Source organism: Homo sapiens, chromosome 21, assembly GCF_000001405.40.
Source record: "Homo sapiens chromosome 21, GRCh38.p14 Primary Assembly".
Classification (NCBI taxonomy): domain Eukaryota; kingdom Metazoa; phylum Chordata; class Mammalia; order Primates; family Hominidae; genus Homo; species Homo sapiens.
The window spans coordinates 39,741,969-39,767,180 of record NC_000021.9 but is presented as its reverse complement, the minus strand read 5'-3'; the positions used below and the strand labels follow the sequence as shown (position 1 = coordinate 39,767,180).

General features: G+C 44.9%; 1 protein-coding gene across 2 annotated transcripts in view; it reads right to left on the bottom strand.

The window, feature by feature from the left end:
* Nucleotides 1-25,212, bottom strand: part of IGSF5 (immunoglobulin superfamily member 5) — a 90,311-nt gene that overhangs the window by 34,901 nt on the left and 30,198 nt on the right. The window contains exons 1-3 of one of the 2 annotated variants that reach the window (NM_001080444.2): nucleotides 21,655-21,998; nucleotides 20,883-20,965; nucleotides 1,329-1,646 (exon numbers count right to left, since the gene is read on the bottom strand). In NM_001080444.2, the coding sequence (NP_001073913.1) occupies nucleotides 1,329-1,646; nucleotides 20,883-20,965; nucleotides 21,655-21,671 (418 nt within the window). In that variant the 5' untranslated portion in view covers nucleotides 21,672-21,998. Of the gene's footprint in view, nucleotides 1-1,328; nucleotides 1,647-20,882; nucleotides 20,966-21,654; nucleotides 21,999-25,212 lie in introns of those variants that run through there. The other variant, XM_047440699.1, reaches the window with a different exon arrangement.

The window sequence follows — 25,212 nt, the reverse complement described above, 5'->3', positions numbered from 1 at the left end:
CTTTGATTCTTTTTTCCTCTGTTCTTTCTCTTATATCACAAATTATCATAATAAGAATCTGGTTATGCAACATAGGCCAACAGTCCTAAATAGCCTTATAAAATCACTTATTTAGAAAATAGAATTGTGCCCCTAATTAAACTACACAAAATTAAAAACACACAAAAGTAAGACACACCAATTTAGCTAAATTTCTAAAATAAAAAACATTTTTTAAAACACAAATAGAAATAGGTAGACATGTCTCCACCAAAGGCTATCAAATCTGATTTAATAGCAACATAAATATGAACAAAATCTTTGGGAATTTCTTCCAGACAAGTAAATATATAGAGATAAGAAATAATTTATAAGATATAATATATTCTCTTATAAGAAATGCTGCCATGGAAATCAGGCACTCTATATCTTTAAATAGAGTATAAATACACTTTTAAAGAATGCAAAGTGATTAAATTTTGGTAAGACTATTCCAAATCTTTGTAAAGCATCCTTTTACTTTTTTACTGTGTAACATTATCTTCAGCACCTCCAAATTACCTCTAAAATGAAAAATAAGCTATTATTATAAATTTTGTTTATTCTTTTCTTTTCTCTCAATGACTTGATATATTTGGTGAACACACAACTTTGACTATAATGACTATCCCACTGTAGTTGGAGGCAGGGTAGAGAAATAAGTTGGGGGGATTCTGCTGGAAAGAGGAAAGAGTTAAAGCATGCTTCAGAGTTGATAAATGATGCAAGCAGAGAAATATAGTCATGTATATGGAAAAACTAGAGAAAGGGCAGTGATTGACAACTGTCTCTAAATCAAAGAAAAATGACTGCAACTGGCCCTAGAAGAATTCCAGGATACGTTTCCAGAAAGGCTGTTAAATACTAAAATGGATTCAAAGGGGAAGTGATAAAATCTGTCTCTATCAGTCTTAACCAGAAAAAAGGAAAGCAAAGATGGAAGGAGAAAGAGAATGAAGCAGGAAAAAGGGAAAGATGGGAGGAAGTGAGGAAGAAGGGGGATAAATCAACGAAACAATAAACATTAGTCCATCCAGAATAATTCTAAGCCTATTGCCAACTGAAGGCTAGAGCACACAGGAAGGAAGAGAGGGGGAGAAGGGAAGAAGAAGTGAGGAGGTAGGGAGAGCATGAGGGAGGAAGGAGGCGACAAATAAATCGCAAAACATTCATCAGTTCAGAATAATTGTAGGTCAACACCAACTGAAGGTAGACCACGTCTGCCATCATACGCGGCATGAACTTTAGAAGGTCCTTCCTGCCCTCTGACATTTAACCTGATGGACTTCAGAAGCCACCTGCATACACACCTTGGACGGTAAGGTAAGCAGATCCATGCAGGCGACTGTTCTGGAGGCTGCATCTGATGTTCCCCGAATCACTGGGCTCCACATTGTGGATGATCATCTCCGAGGTGAAGTTCCCGCCCTGGTCGTACCTCTGAGAGGTGAAGCGGTCATTGGTGATGATGGGCTCCATGGGCCTGACGCTTAGCACCACCATGTCACTGAGAGCCCACATGATGAGCTTCCAGCCCTGGGAGACGGTGCAGTTGAAGCGAGCCTGGGAGCCCTTCAGGACTCTTGCATTTTGGGGGCCTTCTATGACTTCATTACCAGACCCAGAACCTGGAAGGTAGCCAATTTTTCAAGTTGTTAAATGAATGGATCTCCATAAATCAACTGTGTGCTGTAACCTTTCTGTATTTACCAGTGGTAACCCCCAGGTTGTCCATCCAGTGACTCAGACTGTGTCTTTTGAATCCGAACACCAGCTCTCCCTGGCAGATCAGGTGCTTCCGGTGGAAGCCACTGCCATGCCCTCCTTTCCACTCTACCCCCTAACTCTACAGCTGTATTGGGTTGAATAGTATTCCTCAAAACACATGTCCACCGGATCCTCAGAATGGAACCTTTGAAAATAGGGTCTTTGCAGATGTAATTAGGTAAGGATCTCAAGATGAAATCAACCTGGGTTTAGAATGGGCCCTAAATCCACTCACAGGTGTCCCTATAAGAGAAATGCAGAGTGAGATTTGAGACACAGAGGCCTGCAGAGAAGAACATCATGTGAGGACGGATGCAGAGACTGGAGTGATGCATCTACAAGCCAAGGAATGGCAAGGATTGGAGCAACATCAGAAGCTAAGGAAGAGGCATGGAAGACCTTCCCTCAGAGCCTCCATAAAAAACCAACTCTGCCAGCTGGCAACATCCCAGGATTTGCATTCACAGCAGTGGGGCTGGGACCCAAACTCAGGCCTTTCACTCTGAATTTCGTACTCTTTTCCCTTCTGATGTCATTCAGAGTTTATAGCAAGAAGACACCCTGGCAGACCACATACCGTGGCTTCTCCTAGTTTGTGCCCACCCCATCAGTGACACTGCAACATGTCCTACTACCTTCTGGTGTTGTGGGATCCCTGTGGGTGAACCAGGTGGTCTGCCAACATATACACTGGGTAGCCCCAAAAACTGCAGCTCCTCCCTTTCCTTCTGCCTTGTAAAGTCAAATGGCAAGGTAGGCCAGGTGCAGTGGTTCACACCTGTAATCCCAGCACTTTGGGAGGCCGAAGAGGGCGGATCACCTGAAGTCAAGAGTTCAAGACCAGCCTGGCTAACATGGTGAAACCCCATCTCTACTGAAAATACAAAAATTAGCCAGGCGTGGTTGTGGATCCCTGTAAGCCCAGCTACTCGAGAGGCTGAGGCAGAGAATCACTTGAACCCAGGAGGCAGAGGTTGCAGTGAGCCGAGATCACGCCACCGCACTAGAGCCTGGGCAACAGAGCAAGACTCTGTCTAAAAAAATGGCAAGGCAGGTTCTAAAAGAATCTCATTATAGCCCTAAAGGTTTCTGGGGAGGAATCACACCGTTGGACACACAGTAGCACATTAGCACTTCACCTGTGTACCCAGGCACATTGTGGGGGCTAAACTGCCCCTGCAAGAACAACACGTGAAAGGGAAGGAGTAAGCCGCCACCAGGAACAGTCCCCTCCATAAGCAGGACCAGGAGGCGAGGATGCCAGGGTGGAGGAGGGGCCCACTGGCTTTAGGTCCCGGGAGAGGCAGAACTGAAGAAGGTGAGAGTTCACTAAGGCTAAGCCAGCATTTGGATAAACATGATTACTACTCTTTGTTTTGTCCCTGGACATCATTAAAAAAAACAGAAAGAAAGTATGACTCTAAAACACAACTCAGATTAGGTATTCTCCCTGACCTCAAGGCAAATCTCTCTGATCCAAGATCTCTTTGAACTTTGATTTTTGTTTTAAGCGTGAGAAATGGAATTTGAAAACAGTTCCCCCAGGGAAGCCGCAATGCCCTTTCCATGAACTCTGAATTGCTTGTTAAGAAGAAGAGAAAACAGCCGAGTCTGCGCCCCGAGGGTCCGTGATGTAATAACCACACTCCTCCTGCACTCCCACCTCGGGTCAATGGCAGTCAAGTGGACAGAGCCCAGCAGGGTGAGTGTGGGGATGATGGGGTGGGTGAGCCCCAGCCTCACCCTGTGAGAAGTCCGGGCCACACAATGCCAACAGAACAAGCATCCCTCTGAAACCCCAGTTCCTTCCAGTGCCTTGTGCGAAGTGCTGAGATTATTTCACTCCAAGGCCAGTCTTTATGTACCCCGGAGGCCACACGTGTCACTACGGAATCATACAATCTGTGCAGGCCAAATAACCCTATTCTGCAGCTGGGAGATGAAAAGGAGGGAGGAGGGAGCTACACCAAATGGAAACTTCTTGACCTTGATTTGACTTTCAGATGAAACAGGAGGCATCCAACCCTAAACACCAACTTTCCCTGACTGTGTTACCTGTGTTGAGCTAGGCATTTAGTTCCACCTGTTTAAGAGCCAAGATGATCAGTATTTTTCTATACTGCAAGGTCAGGCAGTGAGATGAGGAAGGCCAACCAAACATTTCTTCAGAATAAACACTGGAGGACAGTTAATGTCCTTGCTAGAACAAACCCTAAGTAAACCACGCCGCAGCTGTGCCTCAAGACTCAGGAGCTGTATTTCTGGTCACTTTAGGTCCCGGGAGCTCGTCCCTCTCTCAGCTGTGTCTTATCAGCAGTAACCTTCCCCTGTACAGAATAGGAGAAAACTGTAAAGAAGACCCTGAATCCCACAGTCACCTGCCTCACTTAAAACCTCCCTTTCCTCTTTGCTCTCCCTTTTGCTTTATAGAGCAAACAGCCAGATGGGGGGCAGAGCACTGGGAAAGATCAATGTCTCCTCCCGCCCGAGAACCTCCCTGTGGCCACTAGCTATGGTTGTCACTAAGGACCAATGGCTGATCTTTTTCTTCTCTTGCCCAAATTCTTATCTAAGGGACTGGGGAGTCCACCCTACAAACCCTCATCAGAGGGGTTTCATTGAACACTATATAGTGGGGGCTGCTTTCCAACCTGACTCTGGCATAGCATCACATGACAGGTAAAGAAGGAAATCAAAATATTTAACCCCCAATATGTTTTATTTGCCGTATCTTGAAATAGGCCTGCAAAGCTGACTCATGGGGTAAATTACCTTCTGAAGAGAATCCTCTTCCTTTTCCTTACTTTTTCCTGATCCAGGAGAGGATCAACTCTGATAAGAACATTTATGATCTATTCTCTCTGTGCCTGCAACCTGGAGACTTCCTCTGCATAATCGGAACCCTGGTCGCCACAACCCCTTATCTTAACCCAGACATTCCCCACTATTGTTTCCAGGTCCTTAGGCGTTTATTTAACTCTTTAAACCAATTGCCAATTAGAAAATCTTTGAATCTACCTATGACCTGGATGTACATCTTACATGTATTTGATTGATGTCTCATGTCTCCCTAAAATGTATAAAACTAAGTTGTAATCCTGATCACCTTGGGCACTGTCCTCAGGATCTCCTGAGGGCTTTGTCACGCACCATTGGCCACTCATATTTGACTCAGGATAAATCTCTTCAAACACTTTACGAAGTTTGACTCTTTTTGTCCACAGTCACCCAACACAACATCCTGGCCTCTGCTGGCTACACGATTTCTTTATAGGAGTTTATCCACTTGGAAGATTCTTATTTATGCCAACTCTCTCCAGTTCTCAAATCCACATCTCGAGCCCTGCCCTCTTGCTTTCTCTCCTGTCCTACCAGGCATCTCCGAGTAAACAACTGGTTGCCACCCACCATTGAAAAGATTCCCTTTCAGCTGGATGCAGTGGCTCACACCTGTAATCTTAGCACTTTGGGAGGTCAAGGCAGGAGGATCACTTGAGGCCAGGAGTTCAAGACCATCCTGGAAAACATAACAATATCCCATCTCTACAAAAAAATTAAAAATAGCCGTGTGTGTTAGCATGTGCCTGTGGTCCTAGATATTTGGGAGGCCAAGACAGGAGGATTGCTTAAGGCCAGGAAGTTGAGTCTGCCGCAAGCTATGACTACACCACTAAACTCCAGCCTGGGCGACAGAGCAAGACTCTGTCTCAAAAAAAGAAAAGGAAAGGAAAGATTCCCTTTCTCCTATTCATGCCATCATCTTGTACATCTTCTTTTGAGAAGTATCTGTTCATGTCCTTTGCCCATTTTTTAATTGGATTATTTGATTTGTGCTTGTTGATTTAAGTTCCTTGCAGATTCTGGATATTAGACCTTTGTCAGATGCATAGTTTGTGAATATGTGAATATTTTCTCCCATTCTGTAGGCTATCCATTTACTCTGTTGGCAATTTCTCTTGCTGCATGGAAGCTCTTTAGCTTAATTGGATACCACTTGTCAATTTTTGGTTTTGTTGCAATTGCTTTTGGAGACTTAGCCATAAATTTTTCGCCAAAGCCAATGTCAAGAAGGATAATTCCTAGGTTTTCTTCTAGGATTTTCATAGTTTGAAGTTTTACATTTAAATCTTTAGTCCATCTTGAGTTAATTTTTGAATGGTGAGAGGTAAGGGCCTAGTTTTATTCTTCTGCATTTGGCTAGCTGGTTATCCCAGCACCATTTATTGAATAGGCAGTTCTTTCCCCATTGTTTACTTTTGTTGATTTTGTCAAAGGTCAGATGGTTGTAGGTGTATGGGTTTATTTTAGGGTTCTCTATTCTGTTCCATTGGTCTATGTGTCTGTTTTTGTACCAGTGTCATGCTGTTTTGATTACTGTAGCCTTGTTGTATAGGCTGAAGTTGGGTAATGTGATGCTTCCAGCTTTGCTCTTTTTGCTAAGGATTGCCCAGACTTTGTTTGAAAGATTTCCATCATTTAGGATAAAAACAGATAATCCTTAACATTATCATATTTTAAGACTTGACAGCCAGGTAAGGTGGCTCATGCCTGTAATCCCAGCACTTTGGTAGGCCGAGGTGGGCGGATCATGAGGTCAAGAGATCGAGACCATCCTGGCCAACATAGTGAAACCCCGTCTCTACTCAAAATACAAAAAATTAGCTGGGCGTGGTGGCATGCATTTGTAGTCCCAGCTACTCGGGAGGCTGAAGCAGGAGAATCGCTTTAACATGTGAGGCGGAGGTTGCAGTGAGCCGAGATCACGTCACTGAACTCCAGCCTGACGACAGAGTGAGACTCCGTCTAAAAAAAAAAAAGACCTGACTTAGTCCCACATCAACTCTCTCTCCAGCTACAATTTTTCCCAAACTTCACCCTCCGATCACCAGACCTCCTTTAATTTATCAACCTCATCAACTCTTTCTGGCCTCAGGGCTCTCACATGTGCAGTGACCGGCCTGCAATGCAGTCTCTAACCCCTGGCCTGATTGTTCGGGGGTTACAATTGTCACAGTAGTTGTTTTGTATTTACTTTTGCTCACAATTAATGCCTGTTTTCCCTACTGGGCTCTAAGTTCTATGTCAACAAGAACAATGCCTGGTTTTGCTCAATCTTACATCCCAGTGCCTACAAAGAAGTGATCCATAACAACTACTCAGTGAATATGTACTGAGTGAATAAACATGGTGGCTGAGTTCTATATAACCCATTATACAGTAGGAATGGTGGCAAGGAGAGGTCTGGGAAGAGACTTATGGGTGCACACACAGGTTGATAATGGATATTCAGAGCCATATCTACAAATGAAAATGACTCCACCCATAAGACTTTCCAACATGAAGCATTTGAACGCTTTGGTATTCATTACAAATTTGCATTCATTACAAATTTTGGGATGGACCCTCAGGAGCTCTAGAATTAGCCCATATATACTCTCCTCTCCTGAAATAGCCACCTCCAGGCCTCAACCCAGATCCTCCATACCCTCAAGACAGCACGTATGCCTCAGCTTTTTTTTTTTTTTTTTTGAGACGGAGTCTTGCTCTGTCACCCAAGCTGGAGGGCAGTGTCACAATCTCGGCTCACTGTAACCTCTGCCTCCTGGGTCCAAGCAATTCTCCTGCCTCAGCCTCCCGAGTAGCTGGGACTACAGTTGCGTGCCACCACACCCTGCTAATTTTTTGTATTTTTTAGTAGAGATAGGGTTTCGCCATGTTAGCCAGGATGGTCTCAATCTCCTGACCTCATGATCTGCCTGCCTCAGCCTCCCATAGTGCTGGGATTACAGGCGTGAGCCACCACACCCAGCCTGCCTCAGCTTTTTCAGGAAAAAGTATCTCAGAAACACTAGACCCAGAGTTCATCCACTGCCCACCAAACCTTTAGAAGAGTTTTTTGTAACCACGGCTGAAATAGGCCCATACAGTGCCATATGCCTAAGATGTACATTAAGGGTGGTTTGTTAACCCTACAGTCAGTCCCTAAGCTCTACACAAGCAGGGACCTTGTCTTCCTCTCCATTCTACAAACAAATGTTTAATAAACACCTCCAGAACGTTTTGCATTGCTTACTACAGGACTTTAGAATATCTTCATCCCCAAACACATTTTGACACCACATTCTGGTGCTCTTAGATTTAATGTGTAAATAGACCCAAAGCCAAAATGTCACAAAACATTTCTTAGGCAGGCAACACACTCTGATACTGCCCATTCTATTTGATTCCATTTTATTCTTTCAAACACTGTCATGGCCAGCATTGTAAAACACATTGTCTAGCCACCTAAAATAGAGTAGATATGTTTGTAAAGTACAAAACAAGCAAAACATGTCTACACAGTTAGAAGTCAGAATGATGGTCACTGGGAGTGGGGTGGAGTAACTGGAAAGGAGTTGTCCACTGAATGCTCTTGGTCTCAACATCGATCATACAAATGTGCTCACTTTGTGAAAAGTCGTCCAGCTGTACCTTTATGACATGCGCCCCTTTCTGTATGTCTATTATTCTTCAAATAAATGCCTTCAAGTCACTGCCATCAGGAATGCAAGAGGAGTTTATAATCTAGTTGGGAACACAAAACTAACACCCCTGAAGCAATGGAAACTAAACAAACCTAATGAAAACCAAAGCTGGCTGTGAAAACCCCAGTTCCTCCCAGCACCCCTATGTATAGTATATAGACTATACACTATGCCTTTCCCATAGAAAGTAGTCTGACCAGGAGACCCAGGCCTTGCACACACAGGAGTTCACTCCAGCTGACACCGTTGGAGAGCGCTGGGGTGGTGAGGAAGAGGAAGTGTCACACACAACAGAACCCTTACCCTGTCAGTAAATGGAAACTGAGATTCTCGCCCTGAAAATGGCAAGGGTTAGGAGGCTTCAGGGAGGAGGTGATTTCTGAGTCAGGTCTTCCTCGAAGCCCAGATAGAAATTGAAGAGGTGAGAAACGAGGGAGGGGAAGGGACATTTCAGCAGGTGCAACAACTTGTGGGAAGGAACCTAATGCAGACTCCCAGGACAGTGATGGCCCTGGTGAGGATGGGGGAGATCCCCTGCACCTGAAGGACCGTTCTGGGAGTCGAGTCAATGCAGGAGGAAATGGGCCCCACAGAAGAGGTCACCATGGGAAGGGATGCAGTGGGAAGAGGCTGAGAAAGACCCTTCTGGCAGTTGTGTGTTCCAGCGGCCTCCTGTGGCCCTTGTCTTCCCCCTACACTCCAAGTGGACGTTGGTGAACAGCCCACCAAGCTCAGGCGATCCCTACGTGCCAGGACGACCAGCACAGTCAGGACAGCTTTCCCTCAGCCCTGCACCTCCATATGTTCTTCCTGGCCCCGGGAAAATAAAGCAAGCAGGCAACAACCCATCACTGACAAGCATCTACCGTTCAGAAGTCTTCTGTGCCCACCGCCACCTCCACCCCCCGCAGCTGGTGTGTGCCCGTGGACACATTGGATCAGCGCATCTCAGTGTGGACAGGGGCAGCCTCATCTGGGAAGTGTTAGAAAGCACAGTCTGGGCGCGGTGGCTCACGCCTGTAATTCCAACACTTTGGGAGGCCAAGGCAGGTGGATCGTTTGAGGTCAGGAGTTCGAGATCAGCCTGGCCAACATGGCGAAACCCCATCTCTATGGAAAATACAAAAATTAGCCAGGTGTGGTGGTATGCACCTGTAATCCCAGGTACTCAGGAGGCTGAGGCAGGAGAATCGCTTGAACCCGGGAGGCGCAGGTTGCAGTGAGCAGAGATCACGTCATTGCACTCCAACCTGGGTGACAGAGCGAGACTCTTAAAAAAAAAAAAAAAAAAAGAATGCACATTTCTGAGTCCACCTCAGACCTCCTGAAACAGAAACCCCTGGTGTGGGCCCAGAATTTTGGATTTAAAGAAGCCCTCCAGGTGATTCTGGTGCCTGGTCAAATTTGAGAATCACTGGTTGAAATCGTCTTACACCACCCGCCAGCCCACCTGCATCATGAAGGGATGCAGATGGTGTAGCCTCACCTCTGAATGCCTGACCAAATGCAGATCATGGGCTTATTACATTCGTTTCAATCACTAATCACTGAGAAAAAACTCCTGCCCTCATGAGCTCACATTCTCAAAAGGAAAGGCAACCGAATGAATAAATAGATGATATGGCCTATTAGAAGGTGGCAATAGGTGTGGGGAGAAACAGGGCAAGGAGGGGGACCAGCTACCACTTCAAACAGGGTAGTCAGAGAAAAGCCCCCGGGAAGGTGCACCATGCACAGCGAATGAGGTGAGACAACAGCCGCCGCATTGGACACCTGCAGGAAGAACTTTCCCAGCAGAGGAAAGAGCAGGTACTAAGGCTCTCGGGGGGACTGTGCCTGCTGTGCTTGATGAACTGCAGAGAAGGCTCTGTGGCAGACAGGGGTGGGTGGAAGGAGTGAGGTCAGAGTTCAGGGAGGCCAGGATAGATGGGGTAAAGCCTGGCCAGACCATTGACAGCACATAAGGATTCTGCCATGTATACCTCTTGTTCCTTCCTTCCAACCCCCTTTGTTCTTTGATGCCCTCTTGGTCACCCTCCACCCTTGCATTTTTTCCTTTTTGCTTTTTTCTCTCCCCTAGGAGAGGCTTATCCAAGACACTCCCCAGTACTGATGTATCCTCCTGGAAGATTCAGGGTTAGATCACCTATGTGCTGAACATGTCATGAACCACCCGCAAAACAACACTCCTTAGCCTCAGGAAAGGGTCTCTTTATTGCAAACATTCCTCCACAGCACCAATGAGTGGAGTCCAGTGACCCGGACGGTTCTCATTTCAGCTTTGGCATCTACACACATTCCACAGCCCTGCGAGTCTCGTCCACCCGTCCCTCCAGAATATGAGGTGACAGGTCCCATCAGGGACTTTGAGGAGAGACTTTATAATGTGCTGACAACGCACATCCAGGGCTCCAGTCTCCTTTCTTTTCTGACAGGCCCTAGAAGGCAGACCCCACAGCCAACCCAGAAGCAAAAATACAAGAATTGAAACTGTGATGGGAAAACAACTACCACACCTTGATCTGCGGACATCTCATCCAAGTTACTGAATGAAACCCACAGTGTCAGCGTGAAAGACAGCAAAGATTCTCAGGCCCATGACCTGCATTTAGCATTTAAGTGCATTACTGGGTATTCACAGCCTCGAGAAAGAATGTGGGGTTTCCACCCCTTTGTTTCTCTGAGGTCTTTAGAAAGCAAAATTCAACGTGTGCACTAAACTATAACTACTTGTGTCTGTAATTCTTTCGTTTGTTTGTTTGTTTGTTTGTTTGTTTGTTTGAGACCGAGTCCCGCTCTGTTGCCCAGGCTGGAGTGCAATGGCACGATCTCGGCTCACTGCAACCTCCGCCTCCCAGGTTCAAGCAACTCTCCTGCCTCAGCCTCCCAAGTAGCTGGAAGTACGCCTGGCTAATTTTTTTTGTATTTTTAGTAGAGATGGAGTTTCACCATGTTGGCCAGGCTGGTCTCAAACTCCTGACCTCAGGTGATCCGCCTGCTTTGGCCTCCCAAAGTGCTGAGATTACAGGCATGAGCCACCACTCCCAGCCCGTAATTTAATATAAGGTTTGAAATACCTGTGCTGCAGCACCATTTCACTGTGGGACCCAGCCCCTTGCAATAATCTACAATAGACTCAGCAAATCCCTACACATATGCCTCAGTAGCAAGTTGTACAACAGCTGTGCACAAACCAAAATGAAATCACAGCCTTCCCAGATTGATCCAAAATCCAGAATTATGAAGTGTCAAATAAATCATTTACTAATTTTTTTTTTTTTTTTTGAGATGGAGTCTCGCTCTGTCACCCAGTCTGGAGTGCAATGGTGCGATCTTGGCTCACTGCAAGCTCCACCTCCCAGGTTCATGCCATTCTCCTGCCTCAGCCTCCTGAGTAGCTGGGACTACAGGCACCTGCCACCATGCTCGGCTAATTTTTTTGTATTTTCAGTAGAGACAGGGTTTCACCGTGTTAGCCAGGATGGTCTCGATCTCCTGACCTTGTGATCCGCCCGCCTCAGCCTCCCAAAGTGCTGGGATTACAGGCATGAGCCACCGCACCAGGTCATCATTTAATAATTTTTAAGGTTCGATTAACACAACTCCACAAGTAGTCATCTGGAATGTCAGGCTCTAGCAGAGGATGAAGGAGAAATTGAGTCGTCCAGTTATAAAAAATTACATATTTTACCAAAAGCAGTCACTGCCAAGTGTGAACCCAGTGTTACAGAAAACGACACAGCAATAGATTAAGGTCTGTTAGGAAAGACTTCTAGTCCCCGACAAGCAGGTAGAGTCAGGCAACAGACTAAGAATAGATTGCTTAACTTACTCAACACTCCATTCTGCCAACACCCTCACATGTCATCCACATTTCATCTCTGTATGAAAGAGGAGTCTAGCAGAATCACAGGGCAGGCAGTGCAAAAACACCCTCAGAGCTCCAGGAACCAAGCAGTGAGGCTGCTACAGATATGGATTTGAGAGGGGATAGCATTTGAAGGGTGTATGCAGTTGGAACACTGTCATAAAGCTGATTTCAAGTTTAACTGAAATCAGACAAGCTGCTTTAATTAAAGACATATGCCGGGTATTGTTCATGAATATCCCTATGGGGTAGTCTGAACAGGACTTGAGATTTAACTTGTCTTTCATTTCATTATAGCAGACTTGAATTACCTACACTTAGTTGAAAAATCTTTTATTCTTAAAGTCTTTAGTCTTATTAAACTGTATTAAATAGACAGGATTTAGCCACCCACCAATTCCTCCCTGTCCTGACGAGAGGCAAACACACTCAGAAGATCAGCCAGGACTCACCAAGCTAGTCCTCTCAGAAAGAAAATTGGTGCTTTTGAGATCGCACTCAGCCCCTTATTTTTGGATTATTGGAAATGGCTTGATAATGGAATCTTCAAAAGTGGCAGAAAATGTCATGTTTGGGGCAACGGCAAGAAGCTCAAAAACAAACAACAGGGGGCAAGTGCCTGCTCAAGGTTGGTGGGAAATAGCCATACAGATTCCTCAGCAGAAGCCTTATAAGCCAGAAGGGATTGAAGTCCTATCTTTAGCCTCTTTAAACAAAATGATTGTCAGTCAAGAATCTTATACCCAGCAAAACTAAGCTTCATAAATGAGAGATAAAGTCTTTTTCAGACAAAAAATGCTAAAGGCATTTGCCACTACCAAACCAGCACTACAAGAAATGCTAAAAGGAGTTCTAAATCTTGAAACAGAAGTTTGATATGCACCCAAATAGAACCTGCTTAAAGCATAAATCTCACAGGGTCTATAAAACAATAACACAATTAAAAATAGAAGTATCTAGGTAACAACTAACATGATGAATACAACAGTACCTCACATCTTAATATTGACCTAATGTAAATGGCCTAAATGTTCCACTTAAAAGATTAAAAATGGCAGAATGGACTAAAAAAAAACAAAAAAACACCAACCAAATATCTACTGTCTTCAAGAGATTCAGCTAACACCTAAGCACTCACATAAACTCAAGGTGAAAGGTTGGAGAAAGATATTTCACACAAATGGAAACCAAAAGCAAGCAAAAGTAGCTATTCTTATTTCAGACAAAACAGACTTTAAAGCAACAACAGTTAAAAAAAAAAAGACAAAGAAGGGCATTATATAGTGATAAAAGAATTAATCCAACAAGAAGATATTACAATCCTAAATTTATATGCACCTAACAATGGAGCACCCAGATTTTAAAAACAATTACTACTAGACCTACAATATTAGACAGACAGCAACACAATAATAGTGGGGGACTTCAATACCCCAGTGATAACACTAGACAGATCATCAAGGCAGAAAGTCAACAAAGAAACAATGGACATAAACTATACCCTAGAACAAATGGAACTTACAGATATTTACAGAACATTCTTCCCAACAACTGTAGAGTATAAATCTGGAGGCTTCACATTACCTGACTTCAAATTATACTACAAGGCTATACTTACCAAAACAGCTTGGTACTGGTATAAAAATAGGCACATAGACTAATGGAACAAAATAGAGAACTCAGAAATAAAGCCAAATACTTACAGCCAACTGATCTTCAACCGAGCATACAAAAAAAATAAATTGAGGAGAGGACACCCTATTAAATAAATGATCCTGGGGTAATTGGCAAGCCACACATAGAAGAATGAAACTGGATCCCCATCTCTCACCTTATACAAAAACTAACTCAAGATAGATGAAAGACTTAAATCTATGATCCAAAACTCTAAGAATTCTAGAAAATGGCATCAGAAAAAATGCCTGGACATTAGCTTAGGCAAAGAATTAATGACTAAGACCTCAAAAGCAAATGCAAAAACTAAATAAATAGGACCTAGTTAAACTAAAAAGCTTCTGCACAGCAAAAGAAGTAATCAGCAGAGTAAACACACAACCCACAGAGTGGGGGGAAATATTTGCAAACTATGCCTCCAACAAAGGACTAGTATCCAGAATCTACAAGGAACTAAAACAAATCAGCAAGAAAAAAAAAAGAATAAGTCTATCAAAAAGTGGGCAAAGAACATGAATAGACAATTCTCAAAAGAAGATATACAAACAGCCAACAAACATATGAAAAATACTCAACATCACTAATCAGGGAAGTGCAAGTTAAAACCACAATGAGATGCTGCCTTACTCCTGCAAGAATTATCATAAAAGACAAAGCCATAAATGTTGGTGTGGATGTGGTGAAAGGGAATACTTTTACACTGCTGGGAATGTAAATTATACAACCACTATGAAAAACAGTAGGAGGTTCCTTAAAGAACTAAAAGTAAAACTACCATCTGATCCAGCAATCCCATTACTGGGTATCTACCCAAAGGAAAAGAAGTCGTTACATGAAAAAGACGCTTGCACATGCATGTTTATAGCAGCACAATTGCAATTGCAACAATATGAAACCAACCTAAATGCCCAGCAGCCAATGAGTAGATAAAGAAAATGCGGTATATATACACCATGGACTACTACTTAGTCATAAAAAAAAAGGAATAAAATAACATATTTTGCAGCACCTTGGATGGAGCTGGAGGCCATTATTCTAAGTGAAGTAACTCAGGAATGGAAAACCAAACATCATATGTTCTCACTTATAAGTGGGAGCTAAGCTATGAGGATGCAAAGGCACAAGAATGACACAATGGACTTTGGGGACTCAGGGAGGAACGGGGTGAGGGATAAAAGACTACATATTAGGCACAGTGTACACTGCTCGGGTGACAGGTGCACTAACGTCTCAGAAATCACCATTTAAGAACTTATTCATGTAACCAAAAACCACCAGTACCCCAAAAACTATTGAAATTTTTTAAAAGTAAAGAAAAAAAGAAGAAAGAAATAGCTGTAACAAAAACCACGCAAGGGACTAAGGAGCAACCTGGACACCGCCACGGCTCAATAAAAAGGTGCTGGCATTTCTCCTGCACTCGGAAGACTCCAGCTCTGAGCATCTTGCATTCAGGGTCGGCCTTCTCAGAACCTCCAGAGACTTTGGGAGAATTCTACTTTCCCTAAGGCTTCTCATTAGAGGGTGGAAAAGGCATTTACAAGCTTGTCCAATGAATGGCAGACGTCATGAGTCAGTCCTTTCCAAAAGCCCAGACTTCCCCACTGCACAATATCTCCATGTAACAAAACTGCATTTGTACCCTCGAAGTCGGTAAAAGTTTTTTTAAAAACTTTCTATTAATTGAATCCTGACCCCACCCCCCCCAGCCCATCAAATTTCAGCCAAGTCTCAGCTTTCAACCCATCCCAAGAACAGTTCACTGTGAAAGCGACACTCACTGAGTAGAAACCATCCAGAAATTCTGAACTTCTCAGAGAAGCCCACGCTTGTAGTTTTTAACTCTGTGGAAGTTGGAAAGCGAAGATCATGTGTGCAAATGTCCAGAACTTTCCTGGGAAACCCAGATAACGGCCTGTGCGGGGCTTGAGGGGCCCTATGGAGAAACTCACTTGACAAACACCTGTCACAGGGGAGCCACAAACTGGAGTTGTCTTACCCCAGATGACAGGTAAACCCTTTGGAGGGCTTCAGCAAGGGTGCTTCATTTCCTAAAGGCCTCTTCGTGGCTCTTGTCCTCTCTCCATACAAATGTAGAAACACACTCTTGTCTGGCCTCTAGAGAGTCCTGATGCTGCCTCACCAGAACCAAAGTTCCTCAAGAAATGGCTCTGTCACATCACAGACTGTGTTATAAATGCAGATGTGGCCTCACAGTCCAGGGAGGTATAAGCTCTTCAGAGTGCGTATTTCCTCATTAATCATCACCAAGCTCCAAACAGCAGCCAAACACAGGAAGTCCAGGCCCCGGGCTGGGAACGCAGAGGCCTCAGGGCCAGTCTATCCTCTCCACTCCGGCCTCCACTCCCTCTCCCTCCTCTTCCAAGTCCTTCGGAGTCAAGGCACTGCTCAGCTCCCGCCCTGGTCCTCTTCCACCAGCTGGAGGCTGACAGATCCTTCCTGCCCAAAACATGCTGCCTGGCTGACTGACCTTGCCTCCAGCAAAGGCCCAGCGGCTGGTGGAACTGGCTCCTTCTCCCAGCCAGGCACCTTGACATCCACAAGAACAAATCCTCTTAAGAAAGAAAAAAGTCCCGAGGGTGCGTCCTCTGGATGAGACAGCCATTAGGAGTAAGTGTGGCTTCCATGGCATTTGCTGGAGGACTGGTGGATAGGGCAGAGCTCCAACCCCCCACCCTCAAGTGCTAGGAGATGAACACAGGAACGTGGCTTTGCAGAGCACTGTGACAGTTCTGGAAGACTGTGTCCCAAGAACCTGATGTTCAGCACCATACTGAACTGCTTTTTTTTTTTTTTTTCTGGAGACAGTGTCTTGCTCTGTTACCCAGGCTGGAGTGCAGTGGCACGATCATAGGTCACTGCAACCTTGAACTCCTAGGCTCAAGCAGTCCTCCAGCCTCAGCCTTCCAAAGTGCCGGGATTACAGGTGGGAGCCACCACACCCAGTGAAAGGTCTGCTTTTTTAATGGTCCTTTTTGATAATCTTGTCAGGGAACTCAGAATCAAGGATTTCTGCATGTAATAGGCACCAATGGAAGATATAGCTAACATATTTAAAGACCAAGAAGCAAGTAAATGGGGCCAGGGGAGGCGAAGAATGCTCTTCCTTCCAGTTGAAGGTGTGAAAGGAAAATAAATCACGGGACCCCAAAATCACTAAGCCAAAGGGAGAAAGTCAAGCTGGGAACTGTATCAGGCAGACCTGCCTCCCATTTTATTCCTAAATAAGATAGCTATAAAGATGAAAAAGCTGCATACCTCCTTCACAATTTGCCCATGAGAAAAATTCCCTTGTGGGCCTCAAGATCTTTACCTTAAAAACAGTTCCGTTGAATTTCACCCTGGCAATGTAAATTGTAGCTGATCTTCACAGGTGCGGAGCAAAGGCCAGAACTCAAAGTCATCTCTCTGCTTACCTGAGACAAATGTGTATCTGATTGCTTTCTCTGCCGTATTGCTTAGTAAAAATACAGATTCATTGAGTCAGACAAGGCATAACTGCCTATTCCTCTACCCCTCTCTCACATGTAAATTGTGTATTCAGTGAGAGGCTGATCAACCTTGTGTCTCTTGTCTACCTACAACTTGGAAGCCCCCACTTGGAATTGTCCCACCTTTCCAGACCAAACCAATGTACACATTACACTTATTGATTGATGTCTCATGCCTCCACAAAATGTATAAAACCAGGCTGTGCCCTGACCACTTTGGGCACATGTTTTCAGGGCCTCCTGAGGCTGTGTCATAGGTGCGTCCTTAACCTTGGCAAAATAAGCTTTCTAAATTGATTGAGACCGGCTGGGCACGGTGGCTCATGCCTGTAATCCCAGCACTTTGGGAGGCCAAGGCGGGCAGATCACCTGAGGTCAGGAGTACGAGACCAGCCTGGCCAACATGGCGAAATTCTGTCTCTACTAAAAATACAATAATTAGCCGGGCGTGGTGATGTGGACCTGTAATTCCAGCTACTCGGGAGGCTGAGGCAGGAGAATCACTTGAGCCCAGGAGGCGGAGGTTGCAGTGAGTGGAGATCGTGCCACTGCACTCCAGCCTGGGTGACATGGCGAGATTCTGTTTCAAAAAAAAAAAAAAAAACCTATTTGTCTTTCCAAAAGAAACCTATTTGTTCTTTCTATAGGAAGCCTTTCTCCCCCCTTCTCCTCCCCTACAACGTTAGATATATAAGCCTTTTAACTCTTTAACTCTATTAATGAGCCAGCTACTTCCTTTGTTGGCTCCCATATGCATAAGGCATAAACATTTTTTTTCTCCCGTTAATTTGTCTTTTATGTTTCTTCCACAGGCGCCTGGTGCTGAACCTAAGAAGATAGCAGAAAAGTTAATTTTTGTGTGTGTTATACAATAACCAGACACTTGTCTCATTTGTATCCTTTTTGTCATCCAATGCAACTTTCTCAGGATGACTTCAGCTGCACGTCACAATTCAGTGAGTGCTGAGGCTTACTTCTAACCTCACTGGCTGTTTTCTGGTGGAACTTCAGTTGACCACAACCACTCCATTAAAATAAAAAAATTATAGTGTGAAAATCATTCCTTTCCACAACTAGCACATTATTTTCTAGCTTCTATAAACGGAATTGTGTTCCCCCGAAATTGCTATGTTGAAGCCCTCACTCCCAATGTCATGGTATTTAGAGATGAAGCCTTTGAAAGGTCATAAGGTCCTCAAAATGGAGCCCTCGTGATGGGACTCAGGTCCTTATAAGATCTCGTTCTCTTGAGAGGCCAAAGTGGGCAGATCATGAGGTCAGGAGTTCCAGACCAGCCTGGCCAATATGGTGAAACCCTGTCTCTACTAATAACACAAAAATTAGCCGGATGTGATGGCACGTGCCTGTAGTCCCAGCTACTCCAGTGGCTGAGGCAGGAGAATTGTTTGAACCCAGGAGGTGGAGGTTGCAGTGAGCCGAGATTGCGCCACTGCACTCCAGCCTGGGTGACAGAGAGAGACGCTGTCTCAAAAAAAAAAAAAAAAAAAAAAAAAAAGATCTTGTTTTCTCTTCACTTGCACACTTCAAGGAAAAGTCATGTGAAGACACAGCAAAAAGGAAGCCACCTGCAAGCCAGGAAGAGAGCCCTCACCAAGACGCTGACTCTGCTGGCACCTTAACCTTGGACTTCTAGCTTCTGGAACTGTGAGAAATGAATGTCTGCTATTTAACCCACCCTGCTTCTAGTATTCTGTTGTAGCAGTCAAAACTGACAGAGAGTAGTGTTTCTCCCTCCACAGAAAATGGCCATATCTGAAAATCTGGTATAATCATCAATTCTAAATTATGAACATTTAATCCTTCAGTGCTTCAGTGTTAAAAGCCATTTTTAACAGGAATCGGTTGTTTTTTTTTTTGCCAGAGTTTTTCATGTGCACTCTGTTTCTCTGGCTACTGCTCACTTAAACCATTTTCTTTCCAGAGTTGCCTTGTCCTTGGACACTAGCACTTAGCTGAAAATATCACACATTTAGGAGTTGTCACCCTAGCTCAACTGAATCAGAAGAAAAATGCAATAGGAAGCCCACTTGAAAAATGAACTGAGAGCACAAATTATGTTAATGACCTAGACTTCCTATCTATTCCTGTTAATTTAAAATGATACAACCACTCATTTGGTTTGCTCAAAGAACTCTAGAATTTTAGGTGAACAAAATTTTAGGTGGTCTCTTGCCTGGTTCTGTGGGTTTCCTTGTGTAAATAATGAATTTTCATCATCCTTATTAACTTGGAGGTAACTCCCGTCATTCCTAAGTAATTAATTCATTAAACAGTTCTGCTAAGTCAGTGTTGGCAGAGGAGCTTCTTCTTTGGTATTACAGTTAAGTCCACTTCCAGGTTCCTGGAACCCCCCAGGCCATGTGGCCAGGTGATATGGTTTGGCTGTGACCCCACCCAAATCTCATCTTGAATTGTCCTCCCATAATTCCCACCTGTTGTGGGAGGGACTTGGTGGGAGATAACTGAATCATGGCGGCAGTTTCCCCATACTGTTCTCTGGTAGTGAATAAGTCTCATGAGTTCTGATGGTTTTATAAGGGGAAATCCCTTTTGCTTGGCTCTCTGATTCGCTCTTGCTGCTGCCATGTAAGAAGTGCCTTTCACCTTCGGCCATGATTGTGAGGCCTCCCCAGCCACATGGAGCTGTGAGTTCATTAAAACTCTTTCTTCCCGGTCTCGGGTATGACTTCAGCAGCGTGAAAACAGACTAATTCACCAGGTTAGTTGTGTTATCCACTAATTTTATGCAGTGGCTATTCAGAGAGCACTTAACACTTAGCCTAGGCAGGAGAAAGCAACTAACCAAGCCAAGTGCCTGCCCTTGGGCTGACCTTCCTTAGGGCATGCTGGGGTCAGCCCTAGACCCTCACCAGCAGCCTGAATTTCTCCAAGGTGCTTTTGCCAGGCAAGTCCTGAGGAATGTTTTACTCACTTGAAGGGCGAATAGAGGCATGTTAGAAATTGTAATAGTAGGCAATAAAAACAATGATAGCTAATAATAATAATGATAACAATGGCAAACTCTGAGAGCCCTGACAGTGTGCTGAGCCCCCATTCCGAAAGTGTCTTATTATTCACAGCACGCAAGCATCAGGAGTCCCGTGAGCTGTGTTAACTGTTAACTGTGTTCCATCAGCAAGCAAACAGAACCCAGAGCATGCTGGGAGACCACCTTCTTTGGAAGACCCTTCTGAGTTGAATTATTGGGTTTTAGTAAGAATAATTATTCCTCAGTTATTGATTCAAAAAAATAAACCTCTATGCTGAAAGGGATTAGGATATGCCACCCCAAAATAAGCCATTTTGGCATATAAATTATTTTGAGCTGAAGATAATTGAGAAAAAGTAGAGATAGAAAAAGAGGGATGGGAGCAACCCCCTTTGGGACCCCTCCCTTTGTATGGGAGCTCTGTTTTCACTCTATTTCACTCTATTAAATCTTGCAACTGCACTCTTCTGGTCCGTGTTTGTTACGGCTCGAGCTGAGCTTTCACTCACCGTCCACCACTGCTGTTTGCCACCATCGCAGACCCGCCGCTGACTTCCATTCCTCCAGATCCGGCAGAGTATCTGCTGTGCTCCTGATCCAGTGAGGCGCCCATTGCCACTTCCAATCAGGCTAAAGGCTCGCCATTGTTCCTGCATGGCTAAGTGCCTGGGTTCATCCTAATCGAGCTAAACACTAGTCACTGGCTTCCATGGTTCTCTCCCATGACCCACAGCTTCTAATAGAGCTATAACACTCACCGCATGGCCCAAGATTCCATTCCTTGGAATTCGTGAGGCCAAGAACCCCAGGTCAGAGAACACGAGGCTTGCCGCCATCTTGGAAGTGGCTCACCACCATCTTGGGAGCTCTGGGAGCAAGGACCCCCCACCCCCCGTAACATTTTGGCAACCACGAAGGGACATCCAAAGCAGTGAGTAATATTGGACCACTTTCGCTTGCTATACTGTCCTAGCCTTCCTTAGAGGTGGAGGAAAATACCGGACACCTGTCGGCCAGTTAAAAACGATTAGCGTGGCCGCCTGACTTAAGACTCAGGTGTGAGGCTATCTGGGGAAGGGCTTTCTAACAACCCCCAACCCTTCTGGGGTTGTTGGGGACATTGGTCTGCCTGGAGCCAGCTTCCACTTTCAATTTTCTTGGGGAAACCAAGGGCCAACTAGAGGCAGAAAGCTGTCGTCCCAACCTCCCAGCAGTAGCTGATTGAGATCATGGCTCAGCCAGAAGTCTCTACTCAACAGTCGCCCACGCATGCGCCCTTACCTTTCCTTCTGACCCATACCTCCTGGGTCCCGAACACGACTTTCTTGAAAGTATAGCCCCAAAATTCTCCTTACCTCTGAATCTACTTCCTCTGATCCCTGCCTCCTAGGTACTAATGGTTCAGACTTTCATTTCCTCTAGCAGGTTGTATCTCCAAAGGGATCTAAGGAAGCCCTACGCTGCGTCCTCAGGCACCTAGGCTATAGCCCAGGGAGTCTTATCCCTGGCGTCCCTCCTAATTTAGGTATACAGCTCTTGACATGAGCAGTTATGCAGGACCCATTCCCCACCACCCTTGCCAGGGCCCCAAGTTTGTAATGGCTAAGAGAGAGACACGGAGAGAGAGAGATGGAGAGAGAGAGAGAGAGATGAAGAGAGAGAGAGAGACAGAGAGGCAGGTTCTTGGCCTCACGGATTCCAAGGAAGTCAAAGAGTAAAAGAAAGAAAAAGAAATAGTTAAAAAAAAAAAAGTGTGCCCTATTCCTTTAAAAGCCAGGGTAAATTTGAAACCCATAATTGATAATTGAAGATCTTCTCTATGAACCTATAACACTCCAATGCCACTTTGTTGTCAGTGTAAATAAGGGCGTAGCCCGAAAGCACTGAGGCCACTGACAACCCATAGCCTTCCTGTCTAAAATCCTTAACCCAGTAACCCACGGATGAGCCAAATGCATTCAGTTGGTAGCGGCAACTGCTTTGCTAAAAGTAGAAAAGTAACTTTTAGAGGAAACTTCGCTGTGAGCACACCTCACCAGTTCAGAATTAGTCTAAGTCAAAAAAGCAAAGAGGTAGCTTACTAACTCAAAAATCTTAAAGTATGGGGCCATTATGTTAGAAAAAAGTAATGTAACTCCAACCGCTGATAATTCCCTTAACCCAGCAGATTTTCTAACAGGGGATTTACATCTTAATTACCATACAAAGGTCCGACCAGACCTAGGAGGATCTTCCTTCAGGACAGGATGATAGATGGTTCCTCCCAGGTGATTGAGGTAAAAAACACAATGGGTATTCAGTAATTGATACGGAGACTCTTGTGGAAGCAGAGTTAGAAAAATTGCCTAATAATTGGTCTCCTCAAATGTGCGAGCTGTTTGCACTCAGCCAAGCCTTAAAGTACTTACAGAATCAAAAGACTATCTCAATCCTGACTCAAAAGGTTCGCTACACCCTCTCTGAAACGAATTTGCATAAAAACTGTTGTTTATGGGAATGCATCTTGATGGGGCAGCTGGGTTGTTATGAAATACTCAGGAACCCAGCCCAGCTCTAGGACTCACTCCTGAGCGCAAAGGCAATGTTGGGCACGCTGGTAAAGGACCACTAGAATCCAGCAGCCCGGACCCCTTTCTTTGTGGTCAAGAAAGGCGGGAAAACAGGTGCAGGACTGCTACATCGGTGAGTGTAACTAATCCGATAAGCAGAGGTCCATGGGTGGTTACGCACCCTGGAAAGGAATAAGCATTAGGACCACAGAGGACACTCTAGGACTAATGCTCATCAGAAAATGACTAGGGATGCTGGCATCCCTATGTTCCTTTTTCAGATGGGAAACGTTCCCCCCAAGGCAAAATTGCCCCTAAGATGTATTCTGGAGAATTAGGACCAATTTGACCCTCAGACGCTAAGAAAGAAATGACTTATATTCTTCTGCAGTACCGCCTGGCCGTGATATTCTCTTCAAGGGGAAGAAAGCTGGCCTCCTGAGGGAAGTATAAATTATAACACCATCTTACAGCTAGACCTCTTTTGTAGAAAAGAAGGCAAATGGAGTGAAGTGCCATATGTACAAACTTTCTTTTCATTAAGAGACAACTCGCAGTTATGCAAAAAGTATGACTTATGCCCTACAGGAAGCCCTCAGAATCTACCTCCCTACCCCAACATCCCCCTGACTCCTTCCCCAACTAATAAGAACCCCCTCTTCAGCCCAAATGGTCCAAAAGGAGATAGACAAAGGGGTAAACAATGAACCAAAGAGTGCCAATATTCCCCGATTATGCCCCCTCCAAGCAGCGGGAGGAGGAGAATTCAGCCCAGCCAGAGTGCATGTAACTTTTTCTCTCTCAGACTTAAAGCAAATTAAAATAGACCTAGGTAAATTCTCAGATAACCCTGATGGCTATATTGATGTTTTACAAGGGTTAGGACAATCCTTTGATCTGACATGGAGAGATATAATGTTACTGCTAAATCAGACACTAACCCCAAATGAAAAAGTGCCACCATTACTGCAGCCTGAGAGTTTGGCGATCTCTGGTATCTCAGTCAGGTCAATGACAGGATGACAACAGAAGAAAGAGAATGATTCCCCACAGGGCAGCAGGCAGTCCCCAGTGTAGACCCTCACTGGCACACAGAATCAGAACATGGAGATTGGTGCCGCAGACATTTGCTCACGTGTGTGCTAGAAGGACTAAGGAAAACTAGGAAGAAGGCTGTGAATTATTCAATGATGTACACTATAGCATAGGGAAAGGAAGAAAATCCTACTGCCTTTCTGGAGAGACTAAGGGAGGCATTGAGGAAGCATACCTCCCTGTCACCTGACTCTAGTGAAGGCCAACTAATCTTAAAGGATAAGTTTATCACTCAGTCAGCTGCAGACATTAGGAAAAAACTTCAAAAGTCTGTCTTAGGCCTGGAGCAAAACTTAGAAACCCTATTGAACTTGGCAACCTCGCTTTTTTATAATAGAGATCAGGAGGAGCAGGCAGAACAGGACAAACAGGATAAAAAAAAGGCCATCACTTTAGTCATGGCCCTCAGGCAAGTGGACTTTGGAGGCTCTGTAAAAGGGAAAAGCTGGGCAAATCGAATGCCTAATAGGGCTTACTTCCAGTGCGGTCTACAAGGACACTTTAAAAAAGATTGTCCAAGTAGAAGTAAGCCGCCCTCTTGTCCATGCCCCTTATGTCAAGGGAATCACTGGAAGGCCCACTGCCCCAGGGGATGAAGGTCCTCTGAGTCAGAAGACACTAACCAGATGATCCAGCAGCAGGGCTGAGGGTGCCCAGGGCAAGCGCCAGCCCATGCCATCACCCTCACAGAGCCCCAGGTATGCTTGACCATTGAGAGCCAAGAGGTTAACTGTCTCCTGGACGCCGGTGCGGCCTTCTCAGTCTTACTCTCCTGTCCCGGACAACTGTCCTCCAGATCTGTCACTATCCGAGGGGTCCTAGGACAGCCAGTCACTAGATACTTCTTCCAGCCACTAAGTTGTGACTGGGGAGCTTTACCCTTTTCACATGCTTTCCTAATTATGCCTGAAAGCCTCACTCCCTTGTTAGAGAGAGAGATTCTAGTAAAAGCAGGGGCCATTATACACCTGAACATAGGAGAAGGAACACCCATTTGTCGTCTCCTGTTTGAGGAAGGAATTAGTCCTGAAGTCTGGGCAACAGAAGGACAATATGGACAAGCAAAGAATGCCCATTTTGTCCAAGTTAAACTAAAGGATTCCACCTCCTTTCCCTATCAAAGGCAGTACCCCCTCAGACCCGAGGCCCAACAAAGACTCCAAAAGATTGTTAAGGACCTAAAAGCCCAAGGCCT